Here is a 20,930-nt window from a genome sequence, read left to right as displayed (position 1 = left end):
GGCCTACTCTAAACTAGTGTGACTCTTCTTAACTTGATTTTATCTACAAAGATCCTATTTCCAAATAAGGTCACATTCACAGGTATCTGGAGTAAGAACTTACACTTATCTTTCAGTGGGGGCATAATTCAATCCATAAGACCATCTTAACTACGTAGTCAAAGTTAACATCACCAGTAATAAGACTTAGCAACATGGTGTACCACCTATATGATATACCAGGAAGGATACATCTTTGTGTTTTTTCTTGCCAAAAATGCATAACCTGAACTTAATCGTGAGAGAACGTAAGATTAATCTAAAGTGAGAGACATTCTATAAAATAACCAACCAGTACTCTTCACAAGTGTCAATTAGAGAGCTCTAGTATTTTGCTATAAGATCATGAAAGACAACAAGACAGAGGAACTATATCACAGATGGGACAGAAATATAACTTTGGATTCTAGATTAGATCCTGGAACAGAAAAAGGACACTAGTGGGAAAACAGAAACTGGTGGAATCCCAATAACTCTGTTAATAGTTTAGTTAATAGTATTGCCCCAATGTTAATTTCTTAGTTTTGATAAATGTACTGTGGTTATGTAAAATGTTAACATAGAGGTAGTGGTGTAAAGGATGTATGGGAACACTCTACTAATTTTGCAACTCTTCTGTAAATCTAAGATTATTTCAAAATCAATGTTTTGAAAAAGAGTATGCTCATATTAAGGGAATAGATAAGCTCACCTGTTCTTAGAGGCAAAGATGGCAGGGGGAATAATCTTTAGCAAAAACATACCAATTTGTGAGCCCTATTCTAGGCTCTGATAATTATCTTGCTATTCACAAAGTACTGTGCTATGTGCTCATCGTCATTATCTGTCTGTTTTTGGGCAGAATAATGAAGCAGAGGTGTATAGTCCAGTACATGGTCCACATTTTGCCTCTACCTGAAATACGTGATCTTGTGTATTTGTGCTCCTTAAACCTTGGCTTGCTCACTTATAAAATGGGGATAATGATACTAGCTTTCTCATAAGATGTTCTGAAGATGCCAAGAGCAAATCCTTATAAAGCTCTTCGCCCAGCACCTGCACAGATTGTAAGTTCCCTGTAAAGCATAGCTCCTACCCACAGAATTCTCACTGCTGTATTACGAGGTTATTTCCCCATTTTTCAGTTGAAGAAACTGAGTAAGTAACTTGCTTAAGACAAGATTAGTGAATATGAGAGCCAGACTAAAATAGATAAATCTATAAAAATATGGCTCATTCTCAACCATTTTGTTAGAAAAACATTAACACAAGAGGGAAAATCTGTAGGAATTCGTTGAAAGAAAAGGTACAAAGCAAGCTGTCAAGTGCCCCCATGCTGGGTGGAGTGGGGCCATTTGAAGTAAAGCTTATAGCTGGGAAGAGGCAGAAGCAGGAATTAAAGAATTGTCCATGGCGTGAACCCGGGAGGCGGAGCTTGCAGTGAGCCAAGATGGCGCCACTGCACTCCAGCCTGCGCGACAGAGCGAGACTCCGTCTCAAAAAAACAAACAAAAAAAAAAAATAAAAAAAAACTTTTTATTTTGACATGCACCATAGGCAGGCATGTACCAAATACATGTACCATTTGACATGTATTTTGTCACGTACCTGTGCCCTGCACCTAGCTTTGACAACTACCAACCTGTGACCAGTCCTGTTTTCCTCTTTTTCCATCCACTTTCTCCACTGTCATTATTTTGAAGTAGATCCCAGGCATTATATCACTTTTTATGTCCTTTGTTCATATATATATATTAAAATGGTCAAGGAAAGTTGGCATTGTGTTTAGAAAGTTAAGAGAATAAAATGCAATAAAATAGGGTTTACTCACATAAAAAGTAAGTCAAATGTTTCCCCTGTTTATCAGGGGAGGACCCTGCATGTCCAGCTGCAGGGAGAATATGCAAATCAAGCTTATGCCATCTACTGGAGCCTGACGATGACTAGGTGTGCCTGTGGGAGAGTGCAGTGCCTGGGAGTGTTGTCCTTGGGTATGTTACAGTAAAAAAGCTGAGGCTGAGGACCACTGACCAGGACATGACTGGTCAGCAAACAACAGTCAGCAAACTATGGCCTGAAGACCGAATACAGCTGACTTCCTATGGGCCTCAAGCTAAGAATAATGTCTACATGTTATAATGATTGAAAAATTTCAAAAGAATAATATTTTGTAAGCGGGGCATAGTGGCTCAACCCTGTAATCCCCAGCACTTTGGGAAGCCGAGGCGGGAGAATTGCTTGACCCCAGGAATTTGAGACCAGTCTGGGAAACATGGCAAGACCCCTTCTCTAAAAAAATTTTTAAAATTTAGCCAGGCATGGTGGTGAGCACCTGTAGTCCCAGTTTCTTGAGAGGCTGAGGTGGGAAGATCTGCTTGAGCCCAGGAGGTTGAGGCTGCCGTGAGTCGTGATCGTGCCACTGCACAGCAGCCTGAGTGACAGAGCAAGACCCTGTCTCAAAGAATATTTTGTGACATGAAAACTATGAAATTTGAATTTTAGTGTTCATAAATAAATGTTTAATATGATATAGCCACACTTATTTATTTACAGATTGTTTGTGTCCGAAAGCAGAGATGAGTAGTCATGACAGAGGCTGGGTAGCCCCTTACAGAAAAAGTTAGCCAGGCCCTGGGGTAGGGCATGGGCTCTGGAGTCAGCCTGACTGGGTTTACATCCTGGTCACCTTGTTTTAGCTGAATGGCTTTAAGCAAATTGCTCACTACGTGCCTTAGTTTCTCCATCTTTAAAATAGGGATTGTAGTAGTAGTTACCTTGTGAGGTTGTTAGTAGGAATAAATATGCAACTATATGTAAAGCACTGAGCTGAGTTCCTGCTACCAGTATTAGCTCATTATTATTATTTGTTTATGCTAGAGTTTCTCAGTCACTGTAAGATTGTAACTTCCTATTTAACATGAGGACAATGAAAGCCACCTAGAAGGTTCCTGGGTGGATTAAACATGACCCTTGGGAGTACAGTTTCCACACACCACCTGGCACACAGATAGAACCCTGAAAAGGCTTTCCTGGAATTTCCAAACATTTGAAAGACTTTTTTTATTTGGCTCCATCAACTCATGGGTAAGAGTATCTGCTAGCACAATCAATTCTCACCTCTTCCTTGCTCCTGGCCAGATGTAAAGCAGCTGAGAGCCACACTGCCCTGCAATGCAGCAGCCTGAGTCCTTATGCCAGTGGCTACATTTCCAGCCTCTCCTGGGTGGTGTTTGAGGCTCAATAGGGGTAGAGTCTCAGGGCAGCTGCAGACATGACATAGATGATATTCCTACTATTCCTCACCCCACTCTGGCTGCAAAAAGGAAGTGCAGGGAAAATGAGTGGGGAGTTCCTGTATGCCAGTCTGTTTCAATGGAACTATTTTTGGAGGAATAAAAAAGTATGCTAGATTATATTGGTACGATAGGCATTTTCTTACATTGCATATAGTCTGCTTTGGCTTTTACCTGTTGAGGGGAAGAATGAGGAGAGGATAAAAATCATTGTATCCCCTAGAGAAGGAATATCAAAATCCATTTAATAAAAAAACTCATACTAAGAATAAAATTGCATAGTGTTTTATTCTCCTTTGTTCATAATTAAACACAAGATATTTTAAATTGTCAAATCAGTTTCTTTATGAAAAAATATGACCTGTATGCCTTTATTCTCTCCTTTCCTTCTTCCCACCCGTCGCTTCTTTTCTTCTCTTCCTTTTTTTCTTTCCTTGTCCTCTGACTAAATGAAGAACAAACATTTGATAAAAGCCACTGCCAATTCATGATAAAAATTCACAGCAAAGTTGGTACAGAAAAGAACTTTCTCTGCGTGTTAAAGGGTGCCTCTCCCATGCTCTCAGCAAATATTTAATGATGAAATCTTATTAATAATCACTGTAGAACCAAGAATTAAACTAGTATACCCACTGTCTTGGCTTGTAATCAACAATATACAGGTGGTTCTAGCCAGTGCAATAAGACAAGAGAAACAAAAATGTTATAAGGCCTGGAAAAGATGAAACAAACTGTTATTCACAAAATACTGTCTATACAGAATGCTCAGTGTCTTTTTTTCTTTTCTTTTTTTTAAACTTTAGTGAGATACCCTTCTGCCCTATCTTAAAATCACGTGGTGGGGGGTGGTGTCTGCACTTGAAACAGGACACTTGGTTCCTGGGTTTAGCATTGACCTTGCCCAGCTTGGTCTGGCAGCTGAGTTGTTGGACTAGGAAGCGTCCCTGCAGGTTGTGTTCTGTTACCTCTCTGTAAAGCCTGAAAGCATCCCTACGATTGCATTTGCTAGTTCTCAGTAGAGCTATTTAACAAGAATCTGGAAACATTTTCCCTGAGGGCTCTCTTTAGACAGCAGTAAAATGTAGCTGGAGACATATTGAGTAAATGGAAAAGAAAAATCTAATGAGGCCAGGAATTTTTTTAATCTTCTATTCTCACAGAAGGCCTCAAGGAGAACACCATAATTCATATTTTACTCATGTGGGTTAGGCATAAAGCCTCCCCCATAGATCCAATAACCTGTAAGTGTTCTGGTTTTGAAATTGCACCTGCTTACATTGCTGGATCATAGCACTAAATCACACAGCAACGGCTTCTGGTTCAATTGTTCATTACTTGGGAATGTCAGATTGCCAGAGAGCAGCCTGATGTTTACATCCAAATCGGCAATGCCTTAGGAAATCAGTTTTAATTACAATCTCACGTAGCAGCACTGCACTCAACCTTCAGAGAGGCTGGGATTTGTGTTGAACCTACATCTTATAGCTGTGCAGAAAATGCCTGTCCGACTGGGTCATGCAAAATGGACAGCAAAGTCAGCAGAACCTTAGAAAAGATGACACAGCAAGTGGAACACAGCTGGATCATCCCCCGTCCTGTCAAGCGTGCAGTGCTCTCTGGCCCCTTTTTAAAACAAGGGAACCCAGTTGGCGTTTGCCTTTCAGCTTCCCCATTCTGATATAAAAATCTGTGACCCAGCAGCTTTAACCATAAAAAAGAGAGAGAGAAAGAGAAAGACTCAGAGTCAGCGGGCAGGATTCTCTGAGACCAGGTCCTGCTCCCTCAGGGAATCTTTGTCACCTCACTTGCTGTAATGCAGTTTGTGCCACCAACCTGGCATTTTCAGCCCAAAGCAGGAGCCATTTAGACAAATTCAGGGGATGCTTAAGAGGCAGTGTGTGTGTGTGTGTGTGTGCTTGCGCGTGTGTGTGTGTGTGTATTCAGTACGCTAGTGGTGCAGCTCTGACGTAAAAAAATGTTTTAAACCCTCCTCTGAGCACAAATGCTCAAGAGCCTGGCACTGGACAGGGAGCATCCTGAAGGGCATTGTCACCTGAAGCAGAAGAGCTGTCAGATCTTTCCCTTCAGCACTTAAATCATTGTCACGCAATGGCTTTCATCTTGGGAGATTCATCCTCTGCATTTTGGAACTGAGCCTTCCTAGTGTTCTGAGAGTTTTCTGCTGTCTGTTCAGCTTAGCACGCTAAGAAGCTGGAGAGGTACCCAGCAGCCTGGTTGCATTCTCCGTCTTGGAAAAGTATTTAACTGCTTTGAGAAATCATGGAATCGTTTCTGGCCACATTGTGAGATTGTATTGAATTTTCTTTTTAAGTTTTTAAATTTTTATATGCAAATGCTGGAAAGCTTGGAGACAGTCTATTTCAAAGAAGGCTGTTGATTTCTGAGACTGGCAGGGGCATAAAATGACATGAGAGTGTCTCAGCAGGATTCCAAATTCACGAAAGATTTTTCCAGGCACCTACTATGTTCAGAACGGGGATGCAGAAATATCCTGGAGAATCTGAAGTTCTGCCTTAACCCTCGAAACTTTGAAAGCAATGGCTGAAAAGGAAAGATGAATACCTAGAGGCTCCCTCTGGAAATGATTGAGGTTTGCCACCACAATTGGCTACTTTGGCTTTGCCCATCAAAATTTGGTATCTTCATGTGCTGTCTAGCATCTACTACAGGTCAGATGGAGCTTAGGAGGACAAGGGTAACTCTTCTCTTTGTCTTTGTAAAATGTTTTGTCTATCATCATTCTCTTCCCCATAGCCTGTTTTTTTTTTGTTGTTGTTGTTGTTTGTTTGTTTGTTTTTTGTTTTTTTGACACAGAGTCTCTGTCAACCAGGCTGGAGTGCAGTGGCGCAATCTCGGCTCACTGGAACCTCCACCTCCCAGGTTCAAGCAATCCCACGCCTCCCGAGTAGCTGGGATTACAGGCACCTGCCACCACGCCCAGCTAATTTTTGTATTTTAGTAGAGATGTAGTTTCACCATCTTGGCCAGGCTGGTCTTGAACTCCTGACCTCGTGATCCACCCACTTCGCCCTCCCAAAGTGCTTTGATTACAGGCATGAGCCACTGCGCCTGGCCAGGCTGTTATTTTTATTTATGTAATTCTTGTCTGCAAAGTCCTTGGAATGGGTAGGCGCCCTCCCACCTATCAGCCTGGTTTGAAGTAACTTGCAGATTTGCAACTAATGTTTTATGTGGAGGTGATTTTCAAAACTTGTGGCTATATATAGTATAGAAACCGATGTCCGTGGTAGGGCTTTTTCTCTATACATTTTCTTTTGCCGTCTGGTTATAATTTATAAATATTAATATGTGCATTTCAAATATGCTGTAGATACAAAGATGCTTTCTTAAGAGCCCAGTAATAGAACTTCTTTTTTAAATTTTTTTTTTTTAATTTAATGAAGTAAGAAAACAATCTTGGTGCTTTAGGAAAGCCATTGCATAAGAGTGGCTTTAGGCAAGATGGGGAAAAGGTTTTTAAAGAGATGAAACCAGAAGCAACAAAAGACAAGGTCATTGGGTGAGAAATCAGACACTGCTTTTCTCTACAGAAGGGGTGGGGAGACTGGTTCTACTAAGTGGAAGCTTCTGAATTAAAAGCTGGCAGATGCTGGGGGTGAGGGATAAGGAGCAGATCCCTGCCCCTTTTCTGTCTTCCCAGATACTGCCTCTGTTGACATCCCCTGCCTGCCATTTCTCCTTCCCTGCCTCCTAAGCCAGGTCATCTCCATACAGCCAGAGTGAGACGTGACACTTTATATTCCATAGATCAGTGTACAACCAGTACCTTGTGGAGTGGAACACAGTTGTATGATGGAGTTATGTTGTCTTTGCAATTGACCTTGACATTTTACTTTTTTTTTTTTTTAACTCTATAGGAGCCTAGTAATAAACGGGTCAAACCCCTTTCCCGAGTCACGTCGCTAGCAAACCTCATCCCGCCCGTGAAGGCCACGCCATTAAAGCGCTTCAGTCAAACCCTGCAGGTAAGAAGGGCACACAGGGCCTGTGGTTGCAGAAAATCATGGTGTACGGGAAGGAACATCCCCATCCTACCTAGAATTTCCCCTGGTTTCAAAGTGACCTGAATCAATGCTTATTTCAATAGAAGAGTGCAAGTGAGGGGACTTGGAGGAAGAAAGATGTTTTTCAAGTTGCAGTCAAGGGTCATGCAGAGCCAGAGCTGTTGTGGTTGGGCCTTTCCCCACAATTGTATTTCAGAGTTATGTGCCCCATCCAGACATACTCTCACGCGATTTTTTTCCTAAAATATCTATGGGCCTCCTGAGGAAACCAGCACATGATGTTAGCTGGAGGGCAACAGAGCCTAGTAGCTTCAACCAGGGTCGGCAAACTGCATTGGGTGGAGAAAATCCAGTTCACCACCTGTTTTTTTATGGCTCACAAGCTAAGCCTGATTTTTACTTTTTAAAATTCTTGGGGGAAAGTCAAAAGAATGGTGCTGTTTCGTGACACATGAAAACGACATGAAATTCAAATTTCAGTATCCATAAATAAAGTTTTGTTGGAACATAGCCATGCCCATCTGTTTATTGTCCATGGCTGCTTTGTACTATGGCATAATTGAGTAGTTGTGACAGAGACCATATTGCCCACAAAGCCAAAAATATTTACCATCTGGCCCTTTACATAAAATGTTTGCTGACCCTTGGCTTAGAATGAGGACCTAAGGACCTCGGAGTGGAAGTACCTTGGGTTCTAACCTCGGCTCACCTTGGGCAGGTGACTTAACATCTCTAGGTCTTGCTTTTATTTTTTATTAAAAAAATGTTTTTTCCATACTTCATCCTACAGATAGGTCTTGCTTCTATTCCATATCAGTAAATTTGCCATGATGCCACCAAACGTTCATGGAATCATTGTAAAGATTTACAAGACAGTGCATTTAAAGGGCATAGCATAACACCTTGGCCCTTAGTTAGCAATCATTAATCTTCAAATTCGTTAACTAAGTAGTAAATATTAGCTACTATGATAGTTTTTTAGTTAACAAGTAGTTATAGTTGTTCTTAAACTGTTGATGAAGTGTATCTTTTAAAGTGAACGTTGAGATTTATCCAAGCCCTTGGACCAATTTGATAATTATACAAATTTTCTTTTAGATTGAAGCCCACAAAAAATATGCCATGAAAAGGCTCACCTGGTTTAGCTGAGCAGCAGTCTTGAGTCTGCCATGTATTTGTCCTGAATGCTTTTGCTTGGCAATATTTTGTATCTCTGCTTTCTGAGTCTTTAAGAAAACTGGGGACCAGAACCCAAGGCATGCCTCATGCTGTGAAAATCCATGACTTGAGAACTGTTTGAGGTTCTCCCTCAGCCCTTTCTGTCCTTGCCTGCCTACCATACAGCCAATATGTCATGACTCCACATAGCCCAAGTGGTTCTTGCTACTTTCCCATAGATGCCCTTCCTCTCCATTGCTTTTCCCCTGCCCTGCCCGTTCCTCTGTTAACTCTGTTGCAGTTTCTCCTGAATGAATACCTCACGTAATTAGCTATAGGTTTGGGTCTGTTTCTCTCAGCACTTGGGCCGCTGGATCCCTGGTTAATACCCTGATCCCTTTTGTGGGAGAATGGAGGAAAGAGAAAATAAGGTCATCTGGGAGAGCAAGATGAAGGGCTTTGAAACTAGTGAAGAAGAATGTGTTTACCTTTTCTCCCTTGTGACCAGTTCTTCAGCCCTCTCGACAAGTTCATCGCAGGCATCCCCTGGAAGATTCATCACTGCCCTAGTCCCGCACATCTGGTCTCTCACTGAGTTACTGCTTTTTGAAAATTCTTCAGAATGTCTACTGCATTTCACCCTTTCCTCTCCATCCCAGTGGCTGTGGCTCAAGTTCACTCTGCAATTATTTCCTTCCTTGATTGTCAGACCTCCAAATTACCAGCCATCTCTTCCCATTATTGCTCCCAGGACAGTCCACCCTCTGCCCAGGAAGGCCCTCATTCATTCAGTCAGTGTTGAGTGAATCCTCATCAGGCATTAGGCTCTTCTTGCCCTCATATTGCTATGTTCCAGATATAACAGAATTGCCTTTTGGTAGGTTTGCTGCAGTGCTGTGTTCCCACATGGCAGTAATGAGCTAGACCTAGGCAGCCAGCCAACCATCACCTACAAATGTCCCCACCTCTCCCAATTGCCCTTCTAACACCTGGCCCTTTACTCTCTGTCATTGCCTTGCCTAGTTGGTAGGCTTTTTGTGTTTGTGCTCCTGGGCCTAGGAAGAGCACAATCTGTGCCTCCCACTACAGCCCAGCCCTGGCTGCTTTAAGATCTGTTACCATACCTTCAAAATCTTTCTTTTGGCTTCTCAGGCAAAATTTCTTTCTTCTGTTTCTGGGGTTCCTTCACAGGTAACAGTGCAGGAAACATTTGCTCACCTCAGAAATTTACATTGACCTAGAGAACTAGAACAGAAAGAAATCAAGCCATGTCTGAAATCCAGCAGACTGAGGCCAAGCAAGGATGAGAAAGCCAGACCCAAAGGAGGATCTGACATGTGGAAATTGGTTTTTAAAACCTCAAAGATTTTTTTGGCAAAATAATTTTTTTTTTTTTTTGAGATGGAGTTTCACCCTTGTTGCCTGGGCTGGAGTGCAGTGGCGCGATCTCAGCTCACCGCAACCTCCACCTCTCGGGTTCAAGCGATTCTCCTGCCTCAGCCTCTCAAATAGCTGGGATTACAGTCACCCACCACCACGCCTGGCTAATTTTTTGTATTTTTAGTAGAGATGGTGTTTCTCCATGTTGGCCAGACTGGTCTCAAACTCCTGACCTAAAGTGATCCACCTGCCTCGGCCTCCCAAAGTGCAAAATAAGTTTTTAAGTTAATTTTTTCAAATATTGTGATAAATAGCTTACTCTAAGCTTTATATATTGGCCAGAAACAACCCAGCAGAAACAGAAGAGTTATTCACAATGGTAATGTACATAGATATGGAGAGAATTGAGCGATGTGCTTATGTTTGAGAGTGTCCTTGGGGGGACAGTGAATGGAAATACACCCCTCAAGTTGTATGCAGAGTTAGCAGCCATGTTTGCAGAATGATCTGCAAAGCATGGAGAATGCCAGCTTGTCCCCACATGTCTTCTTGTAACTCACCTTGGTGCACACGGTGCAACTTCTATGGCATTATTTCCAGCCCTAGCATCTCAATAATAGTTTCCCTCACCAGCTAGACTGAGAGAAGGTGCCAATTTATATTTTATTTTATTTCATTTTATTTTAATTTAATTTAATTTAATTTAATTTAATTTAATTTTCGAGACAGAGTCTTGCTCTGTCACCCAGGCTGGAGTGCAGTGGCGTGATCGTGGCTCACCTCCACCTGCGCCTCCTGGGTTCAAGTGATTCTCCTGCCTCAGCCTCCCGAGTAGCTGGGATTACAGGTGCCCACCATCACACCTGGCTAATTTTTGTGTTTTTAGTAGAGACGGTTTCGCCATGTTGGCCAGGCTGGTCTCAGACTCCTGACCTTAGGTAATCCGCCAGCTCAGCCTCCCAAAGTGCTGGGATTACAGACATGAGCCACTGCACCTGGCTGGATGCTAATTTAATGTGGCCTGGGAGCAGTAAGGATGAGGGGGAAGAGCTGGCCCCAAAGGGGTGCTCAGTGGGCTCACTTCACATCCTCTCCGATTTTGTCTAAGTCTTGGTTCCCTTTCCAATAAGGGAGAAACAGAGAACAAAGAGTGTATCAGCTGCCCCAAACCTCTCAGCAGCCATCCATTACCCATATGTGTGTATTATTTATGCCTTTTCTATTCCAAAAATGACTCAAGGCTGTAATTGAGCAGCTTGGTTCTCTGTTGCAGTATTCCTTTTCCCTGGCTTCTGACACCTTAGAGACATATATATTCCTTTGGATATTCAATTATGTCTCTCAGGTTGGATTCTTTTAATTATAGAAGAGATGACTTAAGCCCAAATAAGGTGCTCTAATCAGTGCTGGAACACTTAGCAGACCTTCCTCTGGTTCCTCAGGAGACCACAAGTTAGCCCAGGAGGATATCAGGAGAGCTCTGGGCTGGCAGCCACTTCCAAAAATGTTAAAAGCCCAGTCACACATGTGAGTGGTCCTTGCAGCCACAGTTCAGCAAGACACTGCAGGATTTGTTCTCTCTTGCTTCCTGTGCCCATATGGGCTGGGGGCTTGCACCCCAACACAAAGGCAGCATTTGTGGACGCTGGGGAGGGACAGCCTGACTGCATGGCTCTCTATCTGCTTCTCACCAGGAAGGTTAGCACTGCCGGTAGACTCAAGCACAGATGTCTGGATCCCTCTGAGCCTATAAATTCCCTCCCTGGCCTGCCTGAGAGGAAAATCTGGCCCAGCTCTGAAAGGGGACCTCATGCGCTCCTCTGGTGTGGAGTGAGGAAGGCGAGCTCGCCTTTGGCCAGTCGCTCCCTGAGCCCTGCCTCTCCCTGTCCACAGCTGTTCACGGCTACTGGACTCATTTGAGCTGAGTTCAGCACATGCTATGGAATGTTGTGTTCATGATGTTGTGATGTAGCCCCTCATTCTCTTTGGACTTGCACTTTTTCCTTTTCCATTATAAAAGTGAATGTTCATTATGGAAAAATGCAGAAAAGGAGAAAGAGAAAAAGAACATGTATAGTCTTCCAACTCCAAAACAATCCATTAATAGTTTACCAGTTTCCCTCTAGCACTATTCTAGGCATAGGTGCAGAGCTCACGTACTCTGAGCCTAGTTTTGGGTTCCTCACAGTCTATTCAGCCTTATCTCTGTCTGGGTGATCTGCTCACTTTTAGGTTAAAGCCTCCCACAGTGACTGTGGATGATCAGTTTCTCTTGCATCTCTGTCAGTCTCAGCCTCACACATTTCCAAGCTATGCAGTTAGGTGCACAAATGTTCATATTTGTCACCATTACAGCCTCCTGGGGGAGTTGCACCTTTTATTAGGATTAAATATTCCTGTTTATTTCCTTTAACGCTTTTTGCCTTGGATTTTGTCGTCATCTTCTTCTTTTTTTTTTTTTTTTGCATTTTGCTTAATGTGTTTTATTCCATCTCTATTTTCCTCCTCCCTTTGTTATTTGGCTGGGCAAGGAGTTTTTATCTAGCTTAGGGGGGAGTATTATGTCACAGTTATTCTTGGAAAATATTATCTTTATGGGCTGAGTATATATTATTCTACATAACCAGTCTCCTATTAACACATATTTAGGCTGTGAATATTTTTATATTAAATAACTCTATGTTGAATCTTTTTAATGCATTTGTCCTTTTTTTTTTAAATTACCTTCTATTGTGCTTTGTTTTCTGATAATATAACATCATTTAAATATTGAGGCCGGGTGTAGTGGCTCACACCTGTAATCTCAGCACTTTGAGAGGCTGAAGCGGGTGGATCACCAGAGGTCAGGAGTTCGAGACCAACCTGGCCAACATGGCGAAACCCTGTCTCTACTAAAAATACAAAAAATTAGCCGGGCGTGGTGGCACACGCCTGTAATCCTAGCTACTCTGGAGGCTGAGGCAGGCAGAATTGCTTGAACCCAGAAGGCAGAGGTCACAGCGAGCAGAGATTGCGCCACTGTACTCCAGCCTGGGTGACAGACTGAGACTATGTCTCAAAAATATATATATATATTGAGGCTGGGGCTGGGCATGGTGGCTCACGCATGTAATCCCAGCACTTTGGGAAGCCGGGGCAGGTGGATCGCTTGAGGTCAGGAGTTTGAGACCAGCCTGGCCAACATGGTGAAACCCCGTCTCTACCAAAAAACACGAAAATTAGCTGGGCGTAGTGGTGCATACCTGTTGTCCCAGCTACTTGGGAGGCTGAGGTGGGAGGATCACTTGAACCCAGGAGGTGGAGGTTGCAGTGAGCTGAGATCATGCCACTGCACTCCAGCCTAGGCAACAGAGTGAGACTGTCTCAAAATAAATAAATAAATAAATAAATACTGAAAAATATAGTGAAGCACATAAAAGAGAATAAAAGTCACTTGTAATCCTACTTCCCATCACCAAAAAACTTCCATTAATATTTTGGTACATACTCAGGCAATCTTACCTTTTACTATACTTGCATGTGCATTTTTTTTTTTTTTTTTTTTTTTTGAGACGGAGTCTCGCTTTGTTGCCCAGGCTGGAGTGCAGTGGCGCAATCTCAGCTCACTGCAAGCTCTGCCTCCCGGGTTCAAGCCATTCTCCTGTCTCGGCCTCCCCAGTAGCTGGGACTATAGGCGCCCGCCACCACGCCCGGCTAATTTTTTAATATTTTTTAGTAGAGACGGGGTTTCACCATGTTAGCCAGGATGGCCTCAATCTCCTGACCTCATGATCTGCCCGCCTCAGCCTCCCAAAGTGCTGGGATTACAGGCGTGAGCCACCGCGCCCGGCCGCATGTGCATTTTTTAAAACAAAATGACTATCACACTGTATATGCTATTTTTTTACTCCCTTTGGTCTTAACGGTATAAAATAACTCTACAATAGAAGAGTATTTTTCATGTCGTTAAGTAGTTTTCAAAGACTTGATTTTTTTTTTTTTTTAATAGAGACAAAAATCTCCCTATGTTGCCCAGACTGGTCTCAAACTCCTGGCCTCAAGCAGTCCTACCACCCTGGCCTCCCAAAGTGCTGGGATTATAGGCATGAGCTACCACACCTCGCCACAGACCTGATTCTTAATGGACTCATAAAGCATTTCATCAAAAGAATGTACAGTTGAGTTAATCACTCTCCTGTTGTTGAACATTTGTTTCTGTTTTTTCATCATTATAGATAACAGTGCTTTCAACATCCTGATCATGTGTATGTCTGTATTTCTTTCTTTCCTTTGATTATACTCCTAGAAATGGAATTCTGGTCAAAGGGTGTGAATACTAAAGGCCGTTGATACGGCAAGGCTTCTGTTCTTGATGTGTGTCAGTTTTGGATAGAATTGCTTCTCTGTTTTCACATCTAAATCTAGACTTCTTACATTTCTCCTTCTCTTTTGCTACAGTTTTTCTCTTTGCTGTGATATCCCTCAAGATAGCTCTTCCCAGGGGTCCCTTGGGTTTTCCATGCAAGCCAAGGTGGTGTCTTACTTATCTCTGTATCCACAGTGCCTAATACTACACATTACTTAGGATGTGCTCAAAAATTAGTACTTGCTATTATTATCACCGTTATGACTAGAAAAGGCAGCCATTGCTGCTCCTAAGCTCTCTGCAGAGCCTGGCAGTGGCTGCCAGTGATGGGGCCCTGCCCATCTTCTTCAACTGGGCTGAAGGAGAATATGTGTCCCCTCCCCCAGTTGTAGCCCCTCCAGGAAGTATTGCTATGGCAAAGAAGGGTTTCTAGCAACCACTGCCTCTCATTGCTCCATCCTCTGGCCCTTAGATCAGGGAGTTATTTTATTCAACCCAGATGCAGCATGAACATATGATAAATTAGTGGTCTCCATTAATGTTATTTGGATCTACTGTGTTATTTATTCTGCCTAGACTTAATGGGGAGAGAGTCAATACAGAAAGGTAGGTAGTCCTGCTCTAGAGATTGTAAAAGTTCTACTTGATAAAAGTTGTCTAAGGTATATTAGCAAGTAGAGGAAGAAAATTGGGGGAAAGTTCAAAACCACTGTCCCAGTTGATAATATACACCCATATTAGTATATGGATAGGGAAAAAAAACCAGGAACGTCAAATTCTTTTTTTTTTCTGTTGTCTCTTGGGAATACAATTATACTTTTGCAGTTCTTTTGTTTATTTTGTGTTCTCCTCCTTTTTTCCCCAGTATGTAAGAATTACAAATGAATAGAAAATAAATGAGTTGGAACTATTGATTTTTTCATTATATATTTCTGTTATACTTGAATTTTTTAATATGTATTACCTTTGCAACCAAATAAAAATGAATAAGATTAGAAAATCTTCTATGATAAAATATACTACAGAGAGAGTTTAGCAATGGCCTGAGGGGTCGTCAAGGAAGGCTGCTTAGCAAGGGTGGAGGGATTTGGGTTGGGCCTGGAATGGCTCACAGATGATAAGGATGAAAGGGAGGAAGCGTTTCAGGCTTCAGAAGGGAATATGGGATGGCTGATGCCATCTAGATATAAGAAATAATAAGTAAGAAATTACCCAAGCATATGTGCTGATTTCCATGTCTGGCAACCATGATTACCTTCTCCAAGGACCTCAAACTTTGTCCCTTGGTCCAAGGTCATAAATTTTCTATAACTAACTTATTTGGCTGACATGGAGATGAGCTTGGGGGTGGAAGGCACATGTGTGTTAGGGAAAGCAACCAGAAACCAGACTGTCTTGTAATGGGTATCCAAGGGAGAGGATATAATCATGGGTTCTTAGTTTCTCTTTCTGGTTGGGCCAGTAAAGCCCCTTCCTTATCCCTCTTTTCCGCTTATCACTGGAAACAGAAACTAAAAACCATGGCTTCAGGCTGCTAAAAGCCTAAAACAAAACAAACAGAACAACAACAAAATAAGGCAAGTTGGACAAGCTTGGAGAGTATAGCTGACAAGTTATCTGTAGTCCATCTCAAGAGGAACTCCTGATTCTCTGCTGTTCTTTACTATTCCTGGAGTGGTAGAATATTACTGTTTATTGTTCCTGGAAGCCACTGTAAATAGTTGATATTGGGCCGGGTGCGGTGGCTCATGCCTGTAATCCTAGCACTTTGGGAGGCCGAGACAGGCGGATTGCCTGAGCTCAGGAGTTCAAGACCAGTCTGGGCAAGATGGTGAAACCCCGTCTCTACTAAAATACAAAATATCAGCTAGGCTTGGTGGCAGGCGCCTGTAATCCCAGCTACTCAGGAGGCTGAGGCACGAGAATTGCTCGAACCCGGGAGGCGGAGGCTGCAGTGAGCTGAGATCGTGCCACTTCATTCCAGCCTGGGCAACAAAGCGAAACTCTGTCTCAAAAAAAAAAAAAAAAAATTTGTTGACTATTGTAATTTAAAGCTTGTCATTTTTTATTTAGTAATAACACTCATTAGTGTAGTATCTATGATGAACCAGGTTCTGCACAAAGTACCTTATGTTCATGGCCTCATATCGTCTTCTCCAAAACTCTGCAAGATAGGATTCATCACCACTTATAGGGAGAGATCTGAAAGTTTAAAATTGTACCCAAGGTCACACAGCTGGTAAGTGCCAGAGCTGGGATTCCGTAGGGTGTTCAGAGTGCCTCTCCTGCCGTAGGCTTATCACAAAAAGTCAAAGTTTGGTCATAATAAAGCCTGAAGTTTGGCAGGATTTAAAAATAGTCACCAGACTTTTGAGTTGGAGCATCCCACCTCACTGCTGTTCACCTTCTGTGGCAGGGAGAGTCATCATTTCCATTTCAGCTTGTGGAATATCTTGTCATTAACATTCTCATGCAAAAGCCATTTTATGGTGCCCAATGAAGATGGTTGAGCTACTGCCCCAAGCCTCTGGAAGCCTTCCTAATTTTGGACTTGCACTATGCAAATTGTATAATATTTTCTCTACACCTAAGCCAAATATTTTCTTCAGCTTTTCATTCATTCTACTCAGAATATCTCCAAGCTACAGAAGGGTTTCTTGTTGTACTGGGTCTTTGAGGTTTGACATTTATTGATTATGAATTAATTGGGTGCCCTTTTACCATGGTTTTAATGTGCATCAATCTGAATCAGATTGTAAATATGTGGTTTTATGTTTATTGCACCATTTCTAACTCAGTGTTCATTGTCTTTCATGTTCGTCAACTGACCGTGTTTCTTCTTAGTTAATATTTCTTCATTAAAGAAAGTCTGGAAAATAAATGTAGAGAATTAAAAGATGAAAATAAAAATCAGCCAGGTGCAGTGGCTCACACCTGTAATTCCATCACTTTGTGAGGCTGAAACAAGAGGATTGCTTGAGGCCAGGAGTTCAAGACTAGCCTGGGCAATATAGTAAGGCCCTGTCCCTACAAAAAAAAATAAAATAAAATCAAAAAATTAAAAATAAATAAAATTTTAAAAAGAAAACAAAAATTATCCGTAGTCCCACCATCCAGGGGTGTAAACCTTGTTAACATTTTGTTGTATTTCAAATTGGGATCTTTCTTCTCTCACTTAACTCTGCATGTGAGGCTCTCTCCTTATCATTAAGCTTTTCTCAAAAAGAATGTTTCTTAACAACTGTTTAAGGTTCCCTTTTATTGTTGCAGAGTAATTTGTTTAATCCCTATTGTAGAACATTTTAGGCTGTTTCCAGATCTTTTATAAACAACAGTGTCCTGCTGAGGGCTTTTCTTTCCCTAGGAGTTATCCTAATGGAAGTCCCTCTAGGAGCCATTTGGCCCAGGTAGTTCAGAAAGATGTGTCTGCTGTTTGCTAATTAATGAAAGCACGTATAAACAAGCACTAATAGTGGCAGTGTGGTCTGTGGTATGACAATGATAGGTAACTACCATTCCTGCTGACCGAGTGCCAGGGACTTGGCCAAGCCTCTTGTGTACTTTATCTTATCCAATCCTCACTACAACTTTGTGAGGTACTTATTATTATGCACCTTTTAGAGATGAGGAAACTGAGACCCAGAGAGATGAAAGGTCTCTCAGCCATTGAATCAACTTGAAGCCATGCCTGTTTTACTCCAAAGCCTATGTTCTTCACCCAAATCCATGTTTTGGAGTCAAACAATTGCACTCAGTTCCTATTCCAACACTTAACTTGTGCCACTCACTTACCACTCTGCTACTCAAATTACTCATCCTCTCCTAGGATTAGCATGAGGGTCAAATGTGACAGAGACCACACAGCTGGGAAGTGTTACTTCTCACTTAACATTAATTTCTGTAATGGAGCCTCATAGGAGACTCCTCCAGGATGCTGTTGGTTAACATTTTCCTGTCCTGGCCATTATTGCTGTACATTTTGGTTTAACCCACCGCAGTGGCAACATAGGAGAGTTTTTTCCTCTTACAGTCCCACCCCAACCTCCAATCCCTGATAATAAACCATCTGCTACAAAATAGCAATATGGTTAGCATGGTAAGTGTGGAGAATTTCCTTGGCTTGAATACTTTATTGGAGCATGTTATCTGTGGCTGTGGAAAATGGTTTTTGGAAAAGGGCAAGGGAGGACTCCGCTGAACAGGCGGCATTAACAAATCAGATCTGTCCCATCATGTCTACCTGCTGGGTTTACATTTCCTCTGACACGTGTAAAGCGCACATGCCACCCCCGTCCCCCAACCCCCGGCAGACAGTCTGTTTTGCATCTGCAGCATCTTTTCCACATATCCAGCTTGGGCATAAACTTGAGCACCATTTCCTCAATCTGCATTATCTCTGTTTTATGGTCATTGTTGTTTTAGCTGCCAGCAATTATGAGATTGCAGTTTTTGACTCATTTGCTAGGCCAGATTCCCTCATGGAAACTCTTGCTTGTCCTGGAATATTTTTCACTCCGGTCCCAGCATCCCCACACCCAGGGAGATCTATGTATGTGCTTCTGTTTTTATGTGGTCCTGCCCAAGGCCAGGTCCCTCACTTTGAGGTGGGCCTCTTCTAGTTACCGTGGACTGGCGTTTCTCACCCCAGGAACATTTGGCAATGTCTGGAGGTGTTTTGGTTGTCATAACTGGGCTGGCTGTGCTGCTGGCATCTGGTGGTTAGAGGGCAAAGATGATGCGAAATATCCTACAATGCACAGGAGAGCCTCCCACAATAAAGAATCTCTAGTCCAAAATGTTGTGGTGGCCAGGTTGAGAAACTTTCTACAGGCCAAGAAGTAAACTACAGTTCATTTATTTGGGCACATGTACCCCGCTACACTATGAATCTTATCCTAGGGCAATTAGGGTAGGATATTGGTTAAATATTGGGGCAGGGAGGTTGGCCTGAAATAGACCAGACTTGGATTGTCATTCTGACAGTCACCTTACCACCGGGTTTTAAATAATAAAGCACCATTCATTAGCTGTGTGACCTTCAGCAAAGTGTCACCTTCTCTGAGCCTCAAGTTTCCTTGTCTGTAAAGGGGACAGAATCCTTACCTCTCAGATAAGCAGGGCTCTAAAGCTCCCCTCACAGTGCCCAGCACATAGCAAGCATAACATTTAATCATTAAGCAAAAGTTGTTGAGGTCTTACTATATCAGTTGCTGATGAATCCATCAGTGAATAGAGGAGGTAGATATGCCTGCCTTCAAGGAGTTTACCTTCTATTGGAAGGAAATAGACATGAAAGAAACAAACAAACCTATAAATACAGCACATGTTGAATATAAAAAAAAAAGAGAAGGGCAGAGGGTGTGTAGATGGACAGTGGCAGGGATGCTGATAGGGATGTGGCTGTTCTTCTCTCTAAAGAGGCATCCTCTTGGAGTTTTTTTCTTCTAGTAGTAGTTGCCTGTTCCTCCCTCAACTCTAGTTCTCTCATGTAGTTTTTCCCAGTGGTACTGATGATGGGTTCAGGGGTAGCTCATGGTATGTGGTCAGTGCTGTTATGAACACCTGCCCATCACCCATGTGCTGTCCCCAGACCATACCAGCTGCTGCCCCTTTTCCCCGGGGCCAGACGGCTGCTGACCACTCACTGGTTTGGTATTCTTTTATTATTATTCTTTTTTATAGAGACAGGGTCTTGCTACATTGCCCAGGCTGGTTTCAAACTCCTGGCCTCAGGTAATCCTCCCATCTCAGCCTGTCAAATTGCTAGACTTACAGGTGTCAGTAACCTCACCTGGACAAATGGTTGGCATTCTTTATTCCTCCCTTGGGATTCTTCTTTCAACATCCAGTCCCTTCTGAGTGGAGTAAGAAAAAATGTTTCTTTTAATCCAGCCTAATTAAAGGTGTAAATTTGAAATTTGATTGGTCAGATATCAGCCATTATTCCTAAAACTGAGCAAATGTATTCTCTCTCTTTCCTTAAGTAGATTTATATTCCTAGAAGGCAGGAGCTGGATCCCATCTCATTGAAACTTCCCCAAAATGCATGTCTTGCATGTAAACAGTAGATGCAGTCCCCAAAGTAGAAAGAGCTCAGGCTCTGTTGGAACCAGATCTGGTTTTGAATCTTAGCCTCCCTCAACCTCAGTTTCCTCCTCAGTAGAATGGGAATAAACCCCCAACTTGCAGGGTGGTTGTGAGAATCAGAGAGAATATATCAGAAGTGCTACGTGTAGGCAAAGCGCATAAAAGACCCTCTGTGATATCCCCCATAGTACCCTGAGCCCAGCAATCACTAGGGAAACGCAAAGCAAGAAATTCATAGTGGTAGAGCTCACCTAGTACAGCTTACTGCTCTCTTTTTTCCCATGCCGCAGCAGAAGACAATCTCCAACTCTCTGGGAAATTTTTAAATAAATTAATTAAAATATGCTCAATCTTACCTTCAAAACACAAAACTGAAATTAAGGTATAGTTGTTTAACCTATCAGATTGATAATAATACCTTGTTGATGAGAGTGTGAGCAAAGTGTACTATTATGTACCTATCTGAGGAATATAAAGTTGAATAGCCTATTTGGAGGTCAACTTAGTGGTACATCTCAAACATTAAAATGTTCATACTTCTTAGACCAAGGAATTCCACTTAAGGAATTCCTGCCTTTTAGAAGTATCAGCACAAATACACAA

The 20,930-nt window shown here is 42.3% G+C and overlaps 1 protein-coding gene across 21 annotated transcripts in view, besides 1 other annotated feature; it reads left to right on the top strand.

Annotated features, from left to right (window-relative positions):
* Window positions 1-20,930, top strand: part of ARHGEF3 (Rho guanine nucleotide exchange factor 3) — a 351,849-nt gene that overhangs the window by 298,242 nt on the left and 32,677 nt on the right. For 19 of the 21 annotated variants that reach the window (NM_001377411.1, NM_001377410.1, XM_017006503.2 and 16 more), the window contains one exon: window positions 7,211-7,318. In NM_001377411.1, coding sequence (NP_001364340.1) covers window positions 7,211-7,318 — 108 coding nt within the window. Of the gene's footprint in view, window positions 1-5,309; window positions 6,028-7,210; window positions 7,319-20,930 lie in introns of those variants that run through there. The other 2 variants (NM_001377413.1, NM_001128616.2) reach the window with 1 other exon arrangement.
* Window positions 17,198-18,075: an enhancer, noted in NCBI's record as "OCT4-NANOG hESC enhancer chr3:56796980-56797857 (GRCh37/hg19 assembly coordinates)". NCBI's record gives its function as "activates a minimal SCP1, AML or CMV promoter by ChIP-STARR-seq in naive H9 embryonic stem cells {active_cell/tissue: H9 hESC(naive)}" and the evidence as "EXISTENCE:reporter gene assay evidence [ECO:0000049][PMID:30033119]".

The sequence above is a fragment of the Homo sapiens genome, chromosome 3 (assembly GCF_000001405.40).
Source record: "Homo sapiens chromosome 3, GRCh38.p14 Primary Assembly".
Taxonomy (NCBI): domain Eukaryota; kingdom Metazoa; phylum Chordata; class Mammalia; order Primates; family Hominidae; genus Homo; species Homo sapiens.
Note: the sequence above shows the minus strand (reverse complement) of the source record. Positions and strands in the feature narration are given on the sequence as shown.